Here is a 14961-nt window from a genome sequence, read left to right as displayed (position 1 = left end):
ACGCCAGACAGAGGGAACAGGTGACAATATTGTCTCTGTCCAAAAGAGTCATAGTAAATGCAAATCTGCTTATCATGCTATTGAGTTAGGTACTAAACTTTGCTATGCCATCCAGTTGTAAAACCTAGAGCCCCAAAGAAGAGAATAATAAGATAGAAAACAACACAACTGATCTTTTGGCTAACACTAAGTCTGGAAATTACCCTTCCATTTGAGATGATTGCCAGAAAAATCATCAATATATATCCTATGAAAAACTCCTGAGGGGCAGAGGAATGGGATCAATGCTTCAAAGACTCAGAGAAAGAAAATCACTATAAAAATTATTTGCTCCTAGAATGTAAAAAATATTTTAAGAAAACTGCTTGGCATTCTAAAGGTGAAAAGACTTTAGAATGAGATAAAAGGGAGAAGATTACTTTTAAAAATTCAGCGACATTAAAAATGTAATGACAGAAGTAAAATCTACATCGGGAGTAGGAATGTAGACTCCTGTAGCATTACTATGACAGACACCAGAGTCAATGACATGAAAGACAAACTTAAGATCTTTTCAGGTATGTGGTAAAAGAAAAAAGGATTCAAGTGAATGATATAGAGGACTGGGGCTGGGCATGGTGGCTCACGTCTGTAATCCCAGCACTTCGGGAGGCCAAGATGGGCGGATCACGAGGTCAGGAGATAGGGACCATCCTGGCCAACATGGTGAAACCCTGTCTCTACTGAAAATACAAAAATCAGCCGGGCGTGGTGGTGTGCACCTGTAGTCTCAGCTACTCAGGAGGCTGAGGCAGGAGGATCGCTTGAACCTGGGAGGTGGAGGTTGTAGTGAGCCAAGCTTACACCGCTGCACTCCAGCCTGGGCAACAGAGTGAGACTACATCTCAAAAAAAAAAAAAAAAAAAGAAGAAGAATATAGAGGACTGGATAGATTTATTTAAGAATTATACATTTCTGAGGAAGGTACTAGAAGAATTAGAACAACAATAATTAAAGATATCACTTTAAAAAACAAGACCTGACTATTCAAATTGAAAGGACTCACCATTCTAGATGATAGTAATGAAAAGAGGGCTATTCTAGAAATACCCTGGCAAAGGTTTGGGAATGCAAGTATAAAGAAAAAAATCACATCTATTAGTATTCTGTCATAAAGCAAGTAATTTATGAGGAAACAAAAATCTAGCTGTTCTCAGATAGCTCTCCAGTAAGAAATGCCAGAAGACAACAGAAAAAATACTTAAAATTTTTTGAAGAAAAAGACTATGACCTAAGAATTTTCTCAGCTGAATTTTTTTTCTCATATGTGAAGACAACAAATGAACAATCCCATATATTCAAAGGCTCAGGAAATAGAGCATTCATGTATTCTTCATGAAAATATTATTTGGAGACATACATCAGACACCCGAAAGATGTGAAAGAAGAATAGGGTATGGATTACACATAGTTCATGGCATTATGTAAATGTTATAAAGCAAGATGACATAGCTTGGGAAAACAAAAGCTGTGTCTAATAGCAGTACTTCCAAGCCATAACTTACAGTAGCCCAATTCTCAATAAATTGGAAGGCAGCTAAACAATCATACAGTGCTAGTATTTTATAGTGTCAGGGTCTATTCACATATAATCTCATTTAACCCATTTTAATTCCGTGAGATAAAAACCAATATCCCCATCTAAGATATGGGAAACTAAGACGTAGAAGAAAGCACTTGGCTAAGATATCATGGCTCGTAGGTGGCAGTCAAGAGGTGAGTTTGCAGTCTACAGATTTAACCTCAGACTATTCTGCTTCTAACATGACTATAGAAATGTATTGATCATTAGCTGCCTGAAGTTCTGTTCTTAACTCTAGGTGTCCAAAAGAAGATGAATTTTGTTTAGATAGCATTTTCCCATATCTAGGGCTGTTGGCTTTAAAGAAGTTCCCAGAAGTGAATCCAATTCCCAGAAGGATCAAGGTGGATTCTTTTGTGTGTTACTCTAACAGGTTGCTTTATATATATATATAAGTTATATAATATACACATATAATTTATGTATTATATATAAGTATGTATAACATCATATGTAATATATAAATATAGTACATTTCACACTGGTAGGACGTAATTCCAAACCACATATTTGTTTAACCAATTGAATTACTTGGATTTAGTTTCTATTTCCCTCTTTATTTCCTTCTGAAAATATTATACAAATAACATCAGTTTACAAAAAATAAAATCTGATATAGCTTTTTTATCATACACTAGGCTAGACTAAATGCATTCTGTGGATTGTTTACCTAGGACCAGATGGTATATTATAAAGTTGTATACAAATGAACAAGGACTGCCTGAAATGGATTGATAGCTGAGCACATTTGGCTGGAGCGTCTATTTTAGAAGGAAAACCTGAGAATCATATTATTTGAGTGTGATTCATGTGTTAATAGTATTTCAAGACAAGCCACTTAAAATATGTCCTGAGTGGTGATGCTGGAAATGATCTTTTCTTCAGTGTTTTCAAGTGTCTTCATTTAAGTGTACACATTTTGCCTACCTATAACACGTATCTACACATTGTGATTAAGAGAGCAAACTCTGAAATCAGACCTAGATTAAAGATCTTAATCTCTGCCAGTTGATTGGGCAAGTGACTTAATCATTCGACAGTAATTTCTGCATTTGAAAATGCCTATCTCAAGGGTAATGAGAATTACACTGGTTCACCAAAAGAATTACACTGACTAATATAAAACGTGCCAAGCATGTATGTGTCACATGAAGGCTCATTAAAAAGCGGATATTATTGTTAATCTTCCAATAACTACTATTTCCAACAACAGGCTGAAGGGGCTCAGAAACGTTTGTTGAGTAAAAACACAAGGAAACAGTAGCACAGATTTCCTGCTCTCCTTTACGATCGATGACCTGTCTAAGGACTGTGATCTCTGTTCACTACAGATTGTCACCTGCATTAATCTACTGTCACCCATTAACCTATCAAATAAGGCAGTCTAAAAACTCCAGGCGTCCCTTTCCGTAAGGACCCGGACTGTTGAACTGGAAAGCTAAAATTCAAGGCGTGACAATTGCCCTTTGTCCCACATTCCTCCACCGGTCGCCTGCTTATTTAAATGGTGCGTCCCCTCGGGTACCACTTGAACAAAACCTGCCCAGAGCGCTCCCTGTGTAGATTCGCTGGAAGCAGCTGGAGGCTCCAGTTCTCATCTGCTCAGGTGTCCCCGGCGCCTTGGCGAACTCGGCCACTCCAGTTCCTCACGTGGTGAGCACTCAGGGCAGCGGGTCGATTTTCCGAGGTCCCATACCTGGGTTTGAGGGGCGCGGCTCGCAGCGGCGGGTGCAGGGGCGACTGCCAGCCCTCACCCCGCCTCGGGGTGCGTTCGGAGGCCGACACCTGGAGGACGCCTCCAGTCCCCGCGGGACGCCACGCCTGCGCGCCAGGGATCCGGGATAAGAAGTGCGCGCCGGGCTCCGGCTGCGCGCCGCGGGGCCACCAGTTTGCGCGCAGGGCTCAGGCGACCGTGCGGCCATGGACACGCCACGGGGCATCGGCACCTTCGTGGTGTGGGACTACGTGGTGTTCGCGGGCATGCTGGTCATCTCGGCCGCCATCGGCATCTACTACGCCTTCGCTGGGGGCGGCCAGCAGACCTCCAAGGACTTCCTGATGGGCGGCCGCAGAATGACCGCAGTGCCCGTGGCGCTGTCCCTCACCGCTAGCTTCATGTCAGCCGTCACTGTCCTGGGCACCCCCTCCGAGGTCTACCGTTTTGGGGCCATTTTTAGCATCTTTGCCTTCACCTACTTCTTTGTGGTGGTCATCAGCGCGGAGGTCTTCCTCCCGGTGTTCTACAAACTGGGAATTACCAGCACCTACGAGGTAAGGGGCAGGGTGGGCTGGGACCATGCAGGGCGCGGGGGAAGGGGACTCTGCAGACCTCTGGAGGCGTTTTCTTGGGGGCAGACTGTCACTGCCACATCGAAATCTCTCCCCGTCCATCGTCATCATCACCCTCCCTTCACTCCTCCCCGTCCCCCGATCTTCACCTGGCATCTTTCCCTTCTACTGAGAGGCGTCCTCTAAGGGTGAAAAAATTCTTGGGATTTACTCTCCTGGGCTTAGTGAAAAAAAGAGGCTTCCAAAGTGAACGGATTGCAACAGTAGTGCTCGCTATGGTCCTTTCTACCTTTAGCATCTTTGATTCCCAGGCAAGGGGAAAGATTTTTGGGGAAGGTAAGTTCTTCAGGTCTCAGGCCCTGCTTCTTGAAAGGAATACTCTTGTTCCAGGTCCTCAGCCCCATTCACTCTTCCAAGATAGTTGGTAAAGAATTTGTACTCCCCTTCCTTCCCCTTCCACACCCACCCCCTTTCCACTGAAACAGGCACCCAAGTGGCTAAGGTGTACCAGTACCTGTATTTCGGACCAGATTCTACCACTTACTAGCTGGGTGACCTTGGGTGACTTACCCAACCTTTTGTGCCTATTCCTCAAAAATAAAATAATATCACCTACCTCATCCAGTTGGGAGGATTAAATGAGATGATGCAAGGTGTAGCATTTAGAATAGAGTTTGACACAGAGTAAGTGCCAGATAGGTATTGGCCATAATTACTGTGGTGGTGCTAGTTGTGATGGTGGTAGTTATCTTGGGATCAGTAGGAAAATTAGGCAGCAAGGTTCTCAAACAGCTCTGCCTTCTCTATGGAAAGACAATTAAGGAAAACTGTCTTTCCTCTATTGCACAGGTCCCCTGGCTATAGGTTTTCTCAAGTTGTCTGCAAGAAAGGGCTTTGAAAAGATGATGCACGTTTAGTTTAAAGAGCTGTTGAATGGGAGGTGGGGGCGGGATCAAAGCTCAGGGGAGTGGCGGGGCCCAGTTCAGTGCCTTCAGTGGTCTCCCTCACCCAGCACTGGTCCTTGAGCTACATGGGACAAGCCTGCAGAAGTTTCCTCTCTATTAGGCCATTACCCAGAGGACTCCAATCCTGAGATTCTGGCAGGTGGTTTCCTAGTGAGGCTGGTTCAACTGGTGCTGGGGACAGGGCCTTAACGGCACAACAAACATTGGTGACACACTCTGCCTGGGCTCTAGTGACATCTTCCAGGGCGAGGCACCCCTGGGCAGCATTGCCTTCCATTCACTCTGGGGCTGTGTTTGGGAGAGCTCAATAATTATCCCAGAAGTGAGCAGGATGCAGTTTCTCAGGTTTGCTCAGAAGTGACAAACTGGCGAAATTCCCCAGACCAAATTCACTTCTCAGTCATTTTTTTTTTTTACTTCTCCTTATAGTGAGAAGAAATAAAATATAATTTCAGACTATGACTTCTTTCGAGAACTCAAAAGGCTGGTAACACTGGGCCCATGCTCCCTGTGGCCACAGGAACTCAAGTTTATAGCTATTGCTCTCACTCTCTATTAAACTTCTATATTGAAGTCTTATCTTTGTGTTTTCATGGTTACTGTTTTTTTGGTAGAGAAATTTTTATCTGCATTTATGTCTTTATCAAAAAATGTGAAAGGCAAAATGGACAGGGGTAAAGGGATCTCTTGTTTCCAGGGAGATGTAAGAAAACATATATCTTAGTGGGTGGGAGGAATATTCCAACATGTTAATATGTGAACACCTGGCCACTGTCACTTATGTATGTTACCTGATGGAACCTGGAGGCATCTGAGTCTGTGAGCTGTGATCTATAGCTAACCAATTCCCAAACTTGGAAAGGGTTTGAAGAATCTGGCAGGAGGACTTCAGTCCCCACACATGAATGCTGCTCTCATAACCACTGACCCATGCCTCTTCGGGGCTACAACATTAACTCAAGCAGAAACAGATTTCCCTCATGCTTGCAGTGGTAGAGGCTAAGTTAGCAGGGGTTCCAGCTAAAAATGTCAAAAAGCAAAAGTTCATTGAATGCTGAACACATGCCAGGCACTGGGCTGCATTGCATGTTTTACATACATTATCTGACTCACATTCAGAACAATCCTTATGAGGCAAGTACTATCAAGAGCCCCATTTTGTGGACAGAGACTCAGAGTAAGTTAAGCTACTAGGAATGTGAAGCAGCGTAGACATATGCCTAGCAGCATACTGGCTGCTTCTGAAGGCTCTGATGAGTCTGTTATAACCCCAAGCAATGCTTACGCCAGTGCAGAGAGAACAAGGGAAGCAATATAGGACACGTGAAGTTGTGGGCACACTGCAGGCATCCACCTCCAGGGTGCCAGGCAGTTGGGAACGGGGAAGTTAGGCAACATGCTAAGACCCTCCCAATTGGTCATGGCAAAGACTTTCCTGTGGAGTATATTGTTTATTGTTTTATGCTGAGAGGTACAGAATCTATACAGAATATGCTGTACAGTGTTGAGTGATTGATACCCTGGCATTCTTGCTCAAGTATGAAATCTCTCCCTGTTGACATTTCTTTAGTGAAAATTAGCTGTTCACAAGCATTTTTTTTCATCCATCACTGCCTTCAAAATGTAGTCCTGATAGGTGTTTAGCAACTTCCAGACCCAAGTATAATGCAGGAATCCAATTTAATCCACCAATTCTTCAAGATCCTTCTGGAGCCAACTAAATCTGTGTTTTAAATTGAGTTGCTTAGACCTTATGTTTCTTTGTTATTTATATATTTATTCATATCAACAGAAGCAATTCAAAGTTCTGAGGACCACGAGAGATCTTGATTAATTTAGGCACCTATCATTACTCTGTAATTATGTCTAGAAGTCTTACAAGTATTCCCTAAGGCTGCTGCACAGTGACTTGGGCATCTGGTCCAGTCTCCGGGTATTTCTTCAGCAGCCTAGTAATTGATGGCTGAGATCATAATAGACTTCTTGGTTCTGTCTTGAGTTGGTCCTTGGGCTTAAATCACAGGTTTCCCTGGATCAGTTGATTAACTTACTTGCTTCAGTTTGGTTCAATTTATTTGGGTCTCCAGCAATTTGGATTCATGTACCTAGAAAAAACAAAGACTTCTCTTCTATTGATGTCCATTCACATGTTTAGTGATTCATAGAGATTTACAAAACAAACAAACCAAAAATAAACTTCTAAAGAAATATAATAATACTGCCTTGTTCCCAGACTTAATAAACTTCTCCAGTCTTCTAAAAAGGCTTCCAAAATATCCCTGAATGATTTTGACACTTGTAATTTATTGAGATTCAATTTTCTCCAGGCCCATTGATTTGGATACCAATAGGTTCTTAATATCTTACTTTTTGAGTTTACATTTCCCCATCCATTTATGTCACTGAATAGTCTCCAAACCCTGCAAAATGAGAGGGAAACAAATTATTATTATGCCCCTCATTTTAAAGAGAAAGAACCTGACATTTGGAGAATGATTGCCACAAGCTGATGGAGTCAGGCGTGGGACTGGGTCAAGGGCTGGAACTCTTCCTCCAGTGTACTACAAGGCACTGTGTATTTTTGTCACCGATCAGTGATCTGGGAGTGAGGTCTTACTCTGTGTTAGTTTCACCCATTCACTTATTGAGTCTTAAATATGTAGTCAGATTATTTACTTATATATGCAGAAAAATGTGCACAGATTTTGGCATCAAAGGTTTTAAATGTGTACTGTGGCCCTGGCAAGTTTGCAAGGTTTTCAACTTGATGTTCTATCTGAGGCCCAGTGTTCTTGTCTCTAACATGGGTTTATACACAGTACCTGGCTCATAGAGTTGTTGGGAGGACCATGCACACAGCAAGTACTCTGTATGTGTTAGCCATGATCACGGGGCAAAAAAATCAGATGTCTTTTCCTCTGATTATTACCTAATGCCAGTTTTTCCTTCCTCTTCTTTTCTACTCTATGAAGATTGTTGTCAGCCTTAAACTTCTTAGTAATTATATTCAAGTTAAAGAAAATCTTAGCTCCCAGCTCTGAAATTCTATGATCCTAACTCTGTAATATGTATATTATAATACATTATATAACATAGTAGACAAGCAGACTATGTTATAAGACATAGCAGATTTCAAGTAGAATAGGAAAAATTGGCATGGTCATTGGCACTGAACAGAAACTGACTTGGGTGATTTAAGTTTAAAAAAACAATTGTTAGAAGGACATGGGGGTAGCTCATAGAACAGAGGGACAGGCTGAGTAAGCAAGCCTTGGAAAGGACAGAAACCGGGGCAGCCTTTTCAGGCCACTCTGTCAGGATCAGTCATTTTTTGTCTTTGTATCCTGCCTTTAAGATTCAAATACCCAATGGAAGGAAAAGCTGATTGGCTGAGCTGGGATCATGTGATTTCCTCTTGGTCAGAAGAGGCAGGGCAATTGGCTGACTATTCCATCACAATAGTCTGCAGTCAGAAAGGGTTGATGCCCCAGGTGAGCCAAGAAAAATGTATGGAGTAGATACCAAGAGAAAGAGAACAACAGATTGCTCGCTCTAAAAATACAGAAAGTAATTTCATTTATATGACATTCTGGAAAAGGCCAAACTAGAGAGGGAAAGCAGATCAGTGATTGCTAGGGTTTGGCGGGGGAGAAGAGGGCTTGATCATGAAGGGGAAGCCCGAGGGAGTTTTCTGGGTGATGGAACTGTCTTGTGTCCTGATTGTGACAGGGGTTACATGAATCAGTGTGTGTTAAAACCCATTGAACTGTACTCTAAAACAAAAGAGTCAATTTTGCTGTGTATAAATAAAAATAACACTAAAATAAAAATACAGAATACAAATCAGTTATGAAGTTGCTTTACATTTCTAAATTTAAATTTTCTTCTTGAGCTGCTGATTTTAAAAAAGGCATCCAGAGGATTCGCATAATTTTTTTTTTTGCAACAGTATTTAGAACTTCGATTTAACAAATGTGTTCGTCTCTGTGGAACAGTCCTCTTCATTGTTCAAACAGTAAGTAGCTCTCCATTTATTTTATCTTTTGTCAGCTAAAATGTTTTTAACCATGGCATCTGGATTAAGCTTACCTGGGAATCACATAAAAGACAAAAAAGAGATGTTGAAAAAATGAGGGAACAAAAAAGGAAAAACACTTGTCACTGTACAGCATCAACCCTTAAGATCATCAAACAGTGTTTCAGTAAATGCTTTACTTCCTGGGATTTAAGTGAATGTTAAATATTATACTGATAAAGCAACAGTCGGAAAATATGCTTCCCTTTATCTGACCTCCCTTCACCTCCACCAAGGTGACAGGAAGGGCATTACTACATGACAAAGATATTTGTTGCTGACAGTGGGAATTCTAACAAAAGGAAAACAAGTAGCATGTTCACAGTATTTCTGTAACATATTAATAGGTATGAAAAAATTAACTTCCATAGGAAGACAGTAGGAAATAATTTTCTTTGAAATCGTACTTTAAAAGTCAGTGCTCTTTTAAAAATTAGACTACAAGAACCAACTAAAGCAGTCCTTAGAGTGTAAAACAACAGAATCAAAACTCTGGAGGACTCTTTAAAGCCAAATACTCAATCCAGTAATTCAAGAACATGCGCTTATAGATCTACTGATTGACACAAAGGGAAAGCAAGGATTTGCCAAGTGGTCAGTGACAGAGAATGCTTTCCACTGTTCACCGTGCTTCTGGAAGATTGTAATGATCATTGTCATGACTATTTATATACACATTTTCCTCTTGTCAGTTAAGCACTTTAGGGCTGGGTTTGCTAATGGAGGTTGTGGAAGAGATTTGCATTCTTGTCTCTAATTGCAATTCCACTTCTCCAATCAAAAGCTACCTAAGGGCCAGCCGCGGTGGCTCATGCCTGTAATCCCAGCACTTTGGGAGGCCAAGGCAAGTGGATCACCTGAGGTCAGGAGTTCAAGACCAGCCTGGCCAACATGGTGAAACCCCATCTCTACAAAAATACAAAAATTAGCCAGGCATGAGGGCAGGTGCCTGTAATCCCAGCTACTGGGGAGGCTAAGGTGGGAGAATCACTTGAACCCAGGAGGCAGAAGTTGTAGTGAGCCGAGATCATGCCATTGCACCCCAGCCTGGGTGACAGGGCAAGACTCTGTTTCAAAAAAAAAAAGGAAAAAAAGCTGCCTTAGGATTTGCTGCAGTGAGACAGAGTGCCTTTGTAAATTATGTAACTTGACTCCATTTTATATCTTTGCAAATTATATAACTTAAATTTTATCAGTCCTTAACAACTGCAGTGTAAAAGGAAGGAATCCTTTGGTGTCTCTTAGAGACTTGAGCCTGGTAGCTTGCATTCACCAACTGTTCAGAACCTCATTGGATCTTTGTTAGAGATGCCAACAGAAATCAGAAGTAGGGATAAGTGTTAGGAAGGTGGCCTGTGGTCATGTTTTTAAATCTTCAACTTGGACAGAATAATGACTGTGGAAAGTTAGTTCATTTTTGCAAAAAGAGGGGAGCTTTACCACCTCCCATTTGAAGGACTTCATAGCTCTACTCATGTAATATAATCAAACATTCAAAGGTACTGAATAGATTTTTATTTTCATAATATGCTTTTATAGAATAATCATGGAATTTGCTTTTATGGGATATATTTGAAAGATCAAGTGCAATCAAAATTACATTTTGAGAAAAAGACCGTATTTATCTTACTCACTACTGTACCCCAGATCAATAAATAGTTAAGTGTATGAATGAAAATAATGAATAATATTAAAAAGATTGAATGTGGTTTTCATTGGCTTTCAGGATTTTTTTAGTGCAAATTTATACTTTTGTTTAATTTATGAACAGTAAAAGTTTAGAAATAGGCTTTCCAAATTTTTACTATTTTCTTGATTAATTATGCAGGGATTAACAGTTTGAAGACATAATTGAGGGGTCATCCTCTTTTATATTATTATTATTTATTTTTTTCTAATTATTTCAGATGTAGGAAATTTTATTTCAAGCTTGAGTTGGTGGATCAGTGACCATTTGCACTAAGCACCATATAAAAGTCCGTATTTTTACATAAGCCGGTCACAAAAAAATATTTGTAACTTATGACCGGTCATACCGTAAACAGAAGAGTCAACTTTACTTAAATATTTTGCAAGTTACAAACAAATTTTATTAGGTGTTTTGAAACTGTTGTTTTAAGTCATAATTGAAGTTATAGGAAAACAATCAATATTTTATAACTCAGACGTAATTCATGAATTTTATAATTCATATAATTCATTTGGCTTTCTTTCTCCCCCCTAGATTCTGTATACTGGAATTGTTATTTATGCCCCTGCCCTGGCTTTGAATCAAGGTACATTTTAGAGTTGCCAGTTAGGTAACTCACATTTTGGGGTTCACTTTCAACAAGCCTTATTTTCTCCTTGGGGAGATGGGGAGATGGAGGAATGCTTCTAGTAACCTGCATCAGCTTTACTTAGCGGGGCAGGATGGGTTCAGTGTCTACACTAGCTTCTTTGGGTTTTTGGATGGACAGCTCCAAAGTGTCTGTAGACCACAGAGGTGGACTTCTCCAGGTGGTACTTCTCTGGGATGTGCCCATCAGCCCATTCACTCCTTTAGAATTAAAGCTCCCTGTAGCCAAAGTCAGGATTGACGGCATCCCCTCTTGTGAATCTATAACCTGGAGCCCATCTCCAGGAAGCTTCCCTGTAATTCTGCTCAGGCCTGTTGTAAAATCTGGCAGGGAGAAAAGCTTTTCTTCTCCACACTTCTAATAAGGCCCAAAATGAAAGAGAAAGAGAGCCATGTGATTTGAATGATCAGACTGCTCCTAGTGACAAAAGGACAGATGTCTGTAGTGCCCTTACAAATAAATTTAGGAAGATTGTGCTGCTCAACAAAGTACCCATACTCTCTAGATTTGGGAAGATAAATGCAGTGAGGCTGGGATAGTTTATTGAAGCAAACGTTCATGCTAGTCATAGTTTCAAAAGGCTTTGGGGAAACACCATGCCCTTTGAATTCTTATCTATTCGAAGTGAATTTCTCTAAAACGTCCTTGTAAAATGGACATGTGGACTCTGTGATGGGAAGAATGTGGTACAATTCCTGGGGTTAAAATGACATGAAGAAAACCTACTAATTCCACACTCTGTTTTCTTGATTTTATGATAGACATGACAGTAGTTACCACCTGTTTCTGAAGTGAACAATATTATTACCAAGAGGAACTTCATGTGTAAGGTGCTCTTGAACTCTGAATTCTGGGCATGTTCCACATCGGTATTACCAACATCACAAGTGGATCATCTCATTTGTCGAGAACTGAGTTATAAACTTCATGAGTTACCTATTTAGGACTTAAGTGTAATTGAACATATTATGGTTTTAAAATGCAGTTCTGGGAATTACCAGAGGACTGACTTTAATCTGTGAAGAAATCAAGCATTCTGTTCTTATCAGGCTCAAACCACTCCCTGAGAGTAAATTAGAATGAAAGTGAAGGTGTTTTGATGACTAGAGTGTCAGTTGTGTGTTTTACTGTGACCAAAGCTGTAGGTACAGGCATAGACACAGAACTTAGTGTGCAATAGATGCTCAAAAAAGCTTATTTAACTGAATTGAAAATTAACATTCTCTAGGTCTAACCTCTTTTTTTCTTTTTTAAATTTTGGAAATCCTCATACAAATACTAAGAGAGAATAGAGCCCCTTAATGTGCTCATTCATCACTCTATGTTAATATTTATCAACTCATGGTCCATTTTAATTCACTCCCCCTTACCTCTAATAGATTATTTTGCTGCAAATATGTTATGTCATTTCATCTGTATTTCAGTATGTCCTTTAGAAATAAAGACTTTAAAAACCATAATCATACCATCATTGTACCTAAAATATTAATATTAATTTCTTAATTTCATATCAAGTCAGTGTTTACATTTCCCTGATTTTTTTTCAGTGTTTATAAGAATCAGGATCCAAATAAGCTTATGTGATTGCAATCAGTTGATGTCTCTTAAGTTTCCCTTTTCTGCTTTTTAAAATTGAAAACCAGTTTTTCTTTCTTTCTTTTTTCCTGACCACCTGATGCCTGTTGAGAAAACTAGTTTTTATTGAGGTATAGTTAACATACAATAAAATGCACAGAGCATGGGGAAGTGTACAGTTGGATGAGTTTTAGTAGTTGCCTAATAGCTTGTGTGACTACCACCCCGCTCAAGATATAGACTATTTCCGTCATCCACTCTCAGAAATTTTCCTTGCATGTCTTTCTAACAAATCTCCTATGGGCCCAAGAAATCATTTTCTGAGTTATGCTACCATAAACTAGTTTTCCCTGTTGTTAGATTTTATATAAGTGGAATCATATAGAGCCTTTTCATGTCTGGTTTCTTTTGCTCAGCAAAATGTTTTGAGATTCATTCATGCTGCTACATATATATCAGTAGTTCATTCCCTTTTTTTTTTTTTTTTTTTTTTTTTTTTTTTTTTTTTTTTTTTTTGCTGGTAGTACTTCATTTTATGCCTCTACCAACATTTTTTTATCCATTCTCTTGTTATAGACTTGGGTTGTTTCCAGTTTTAGGCTATAGTGAAGTAAGGGTGCCAAGAACATTCTTCTAAAGGTTTTGTGCATTTTGTTTTTCTTTTTCACACCTGTTTTCACTTCCATTGGAAATGAAATACATGGATGTAGTATAAAATTAAAAATATAATTCTATTTGGACCCAGCTGAGGATAGAAATGTGTGCAAATTTACAAGAAATTGCCAAACAGTTTTTCCAAGTGGCTATATCGTTTTCCATGTCCACTACGCAATATGTGAGAATTCTAGTCATTCCACATCCTTGCCAGCATTTGATATTATTCTTTTTTATTTCAGTCATTCTAGTGGGTATTACCTATTATTTTATTGTTGTTTCAGTTTTCACTTTCTATATGACTATTATGGCTTAGCTTATTATTAGACTATTATGGCTTAGCTTATTGGCTTCTGAAATAATAAAGTGAATAAAGACAAATAACCTAATAAAAAGTGAGCCAAAGACTTGAACACTTCACAAAAGCAGATATTCTTCTAATACATTACATGATATATCTATTCATTTACCTAGGCCTTTAAAAATTTCTCTTAGTGCTCACTTTGGCAGCATGTATACTAAAACTGGAACAATACAGAGAATATTAGCATGGCCCTTGCACAAAAATGATATGCAAATTTGTGAAGCATTCCATATTTTTTAAAAAAGGAAGAAAAGAAATAATAAAATAAAAAGTCTCTTAGTAATGTTTTGTAGCTTTGGATGTTGAGGTCTTTTACTATTTCTTAGATTTATTCCTAGATAATTGTTGTTTTTTATGCTATTGCAAATGTCATTGTTTTATTTTTCAATTATTCGTTGCAAGTGTATAAAAATACAACTGACTTTTATATGTTGATATTCCATCCTGAGAACTTGCTGAATTTGCTTTTTAAATCAAGCAGATTTTTGGTGATCCCTTAGGATTTTCATGTTGTTTATGAATAGTGACAATTTTACTTCTTTTCTAATCCTTATAGCTCTTAGTTCTCTTTCCTGTCTTATTGTAATGTTAATGTGAAAAGTTACATTGACTGAATTTTGAATATTAAACCAATTTTTGCATTCTTGGGATAAACCCTGCTTGCTCATAATGTATTATCCTTTTTATATATTACCGAATTCGATTTGCTAACATTTTGATAAGGCTTCATAAATGAATTGAAAAGTGTTCCCTCCTCCATTTTCTGAAATAGTTTATATAAAATTGTGTATTTATTTCTTACATGCTTGGTAGAAATCACCCTGAAGGCATCTGGGCCTACTCTTTGTTTTTGTAGAAAGATTTTGGTTTATGGATTCAGTTTATTTCGTAAATATAGAGTTATTCATATTTTAAAAGTCTTGTTGGGTCAGTTTTGGTAAATTGTATTTTTTAGGGAATGCTTCCATTTGGTCTAACTTATCAAATTCATTAGCATAAAACTGCATATAATACCCTCTTGTTATGCTTTTAATGTTTATAGTATCTATAGTGACATCCCTTCTAATTATTCCTAATAT

The 14961-nt window shown here is 39.0% G+C and overlaps 1 protein-coding gene and 1 pseudogene across 3 annotated transcripts in view; both read left to right on the top strand.

The window, feature by feature from the left end:
• Positions 1-3151: 3151 nt before the first annotated feature.
• Positions 3152-14961, top strand: part of SLC5A8 (solute carrier family 5 member 8) — a 54746-nt gene continuing 42936 nt past the window's right edge. For all 3 annotated transcript variants that reach the window (XR_007063055.1, NM_145913.5, XM_017018910.3), the window contains exons 1-3: positions 3152-3892; positions 8825-8890; positions 11175-11226. Coding sequence is in view for 2 of the 3 variants with exons in the window: in NM_145913.5 (NP_666018.3) it covers positions 3542-3892; positions 8825-8890; positions 11175-11226 (469 nt within the window). In the remaining variant the exon portion in view is untranslated. The remainder of the gene's footprint in view (positions 3893-8824; positions 8891-11174; positions 11227-14961) is intronic.
• Positions 14013-14119, top strand: RNU6-768P (RNA, U6 small nuclear 768, pseudogene; annotated as a pseudogene).

The sequence above is a fragment of the Homo sapiens genome, chromosome 12 (assembly GCF_000001405.40).
Source record: "Homo sapiens chromosome 12, GRCh38.p14 Primary Assembly".
Lineage (NCBI taxonomy): Eukaryota > Metazoa > Chordata > Mammalia > Primates > Hominidae > Homo > Homo sapiens.
The sequence above is the reverse complement of the archived record's forward strand: the minus strand, read 5'-3'. Positions and strand labels throughout refer to the sequence as shown.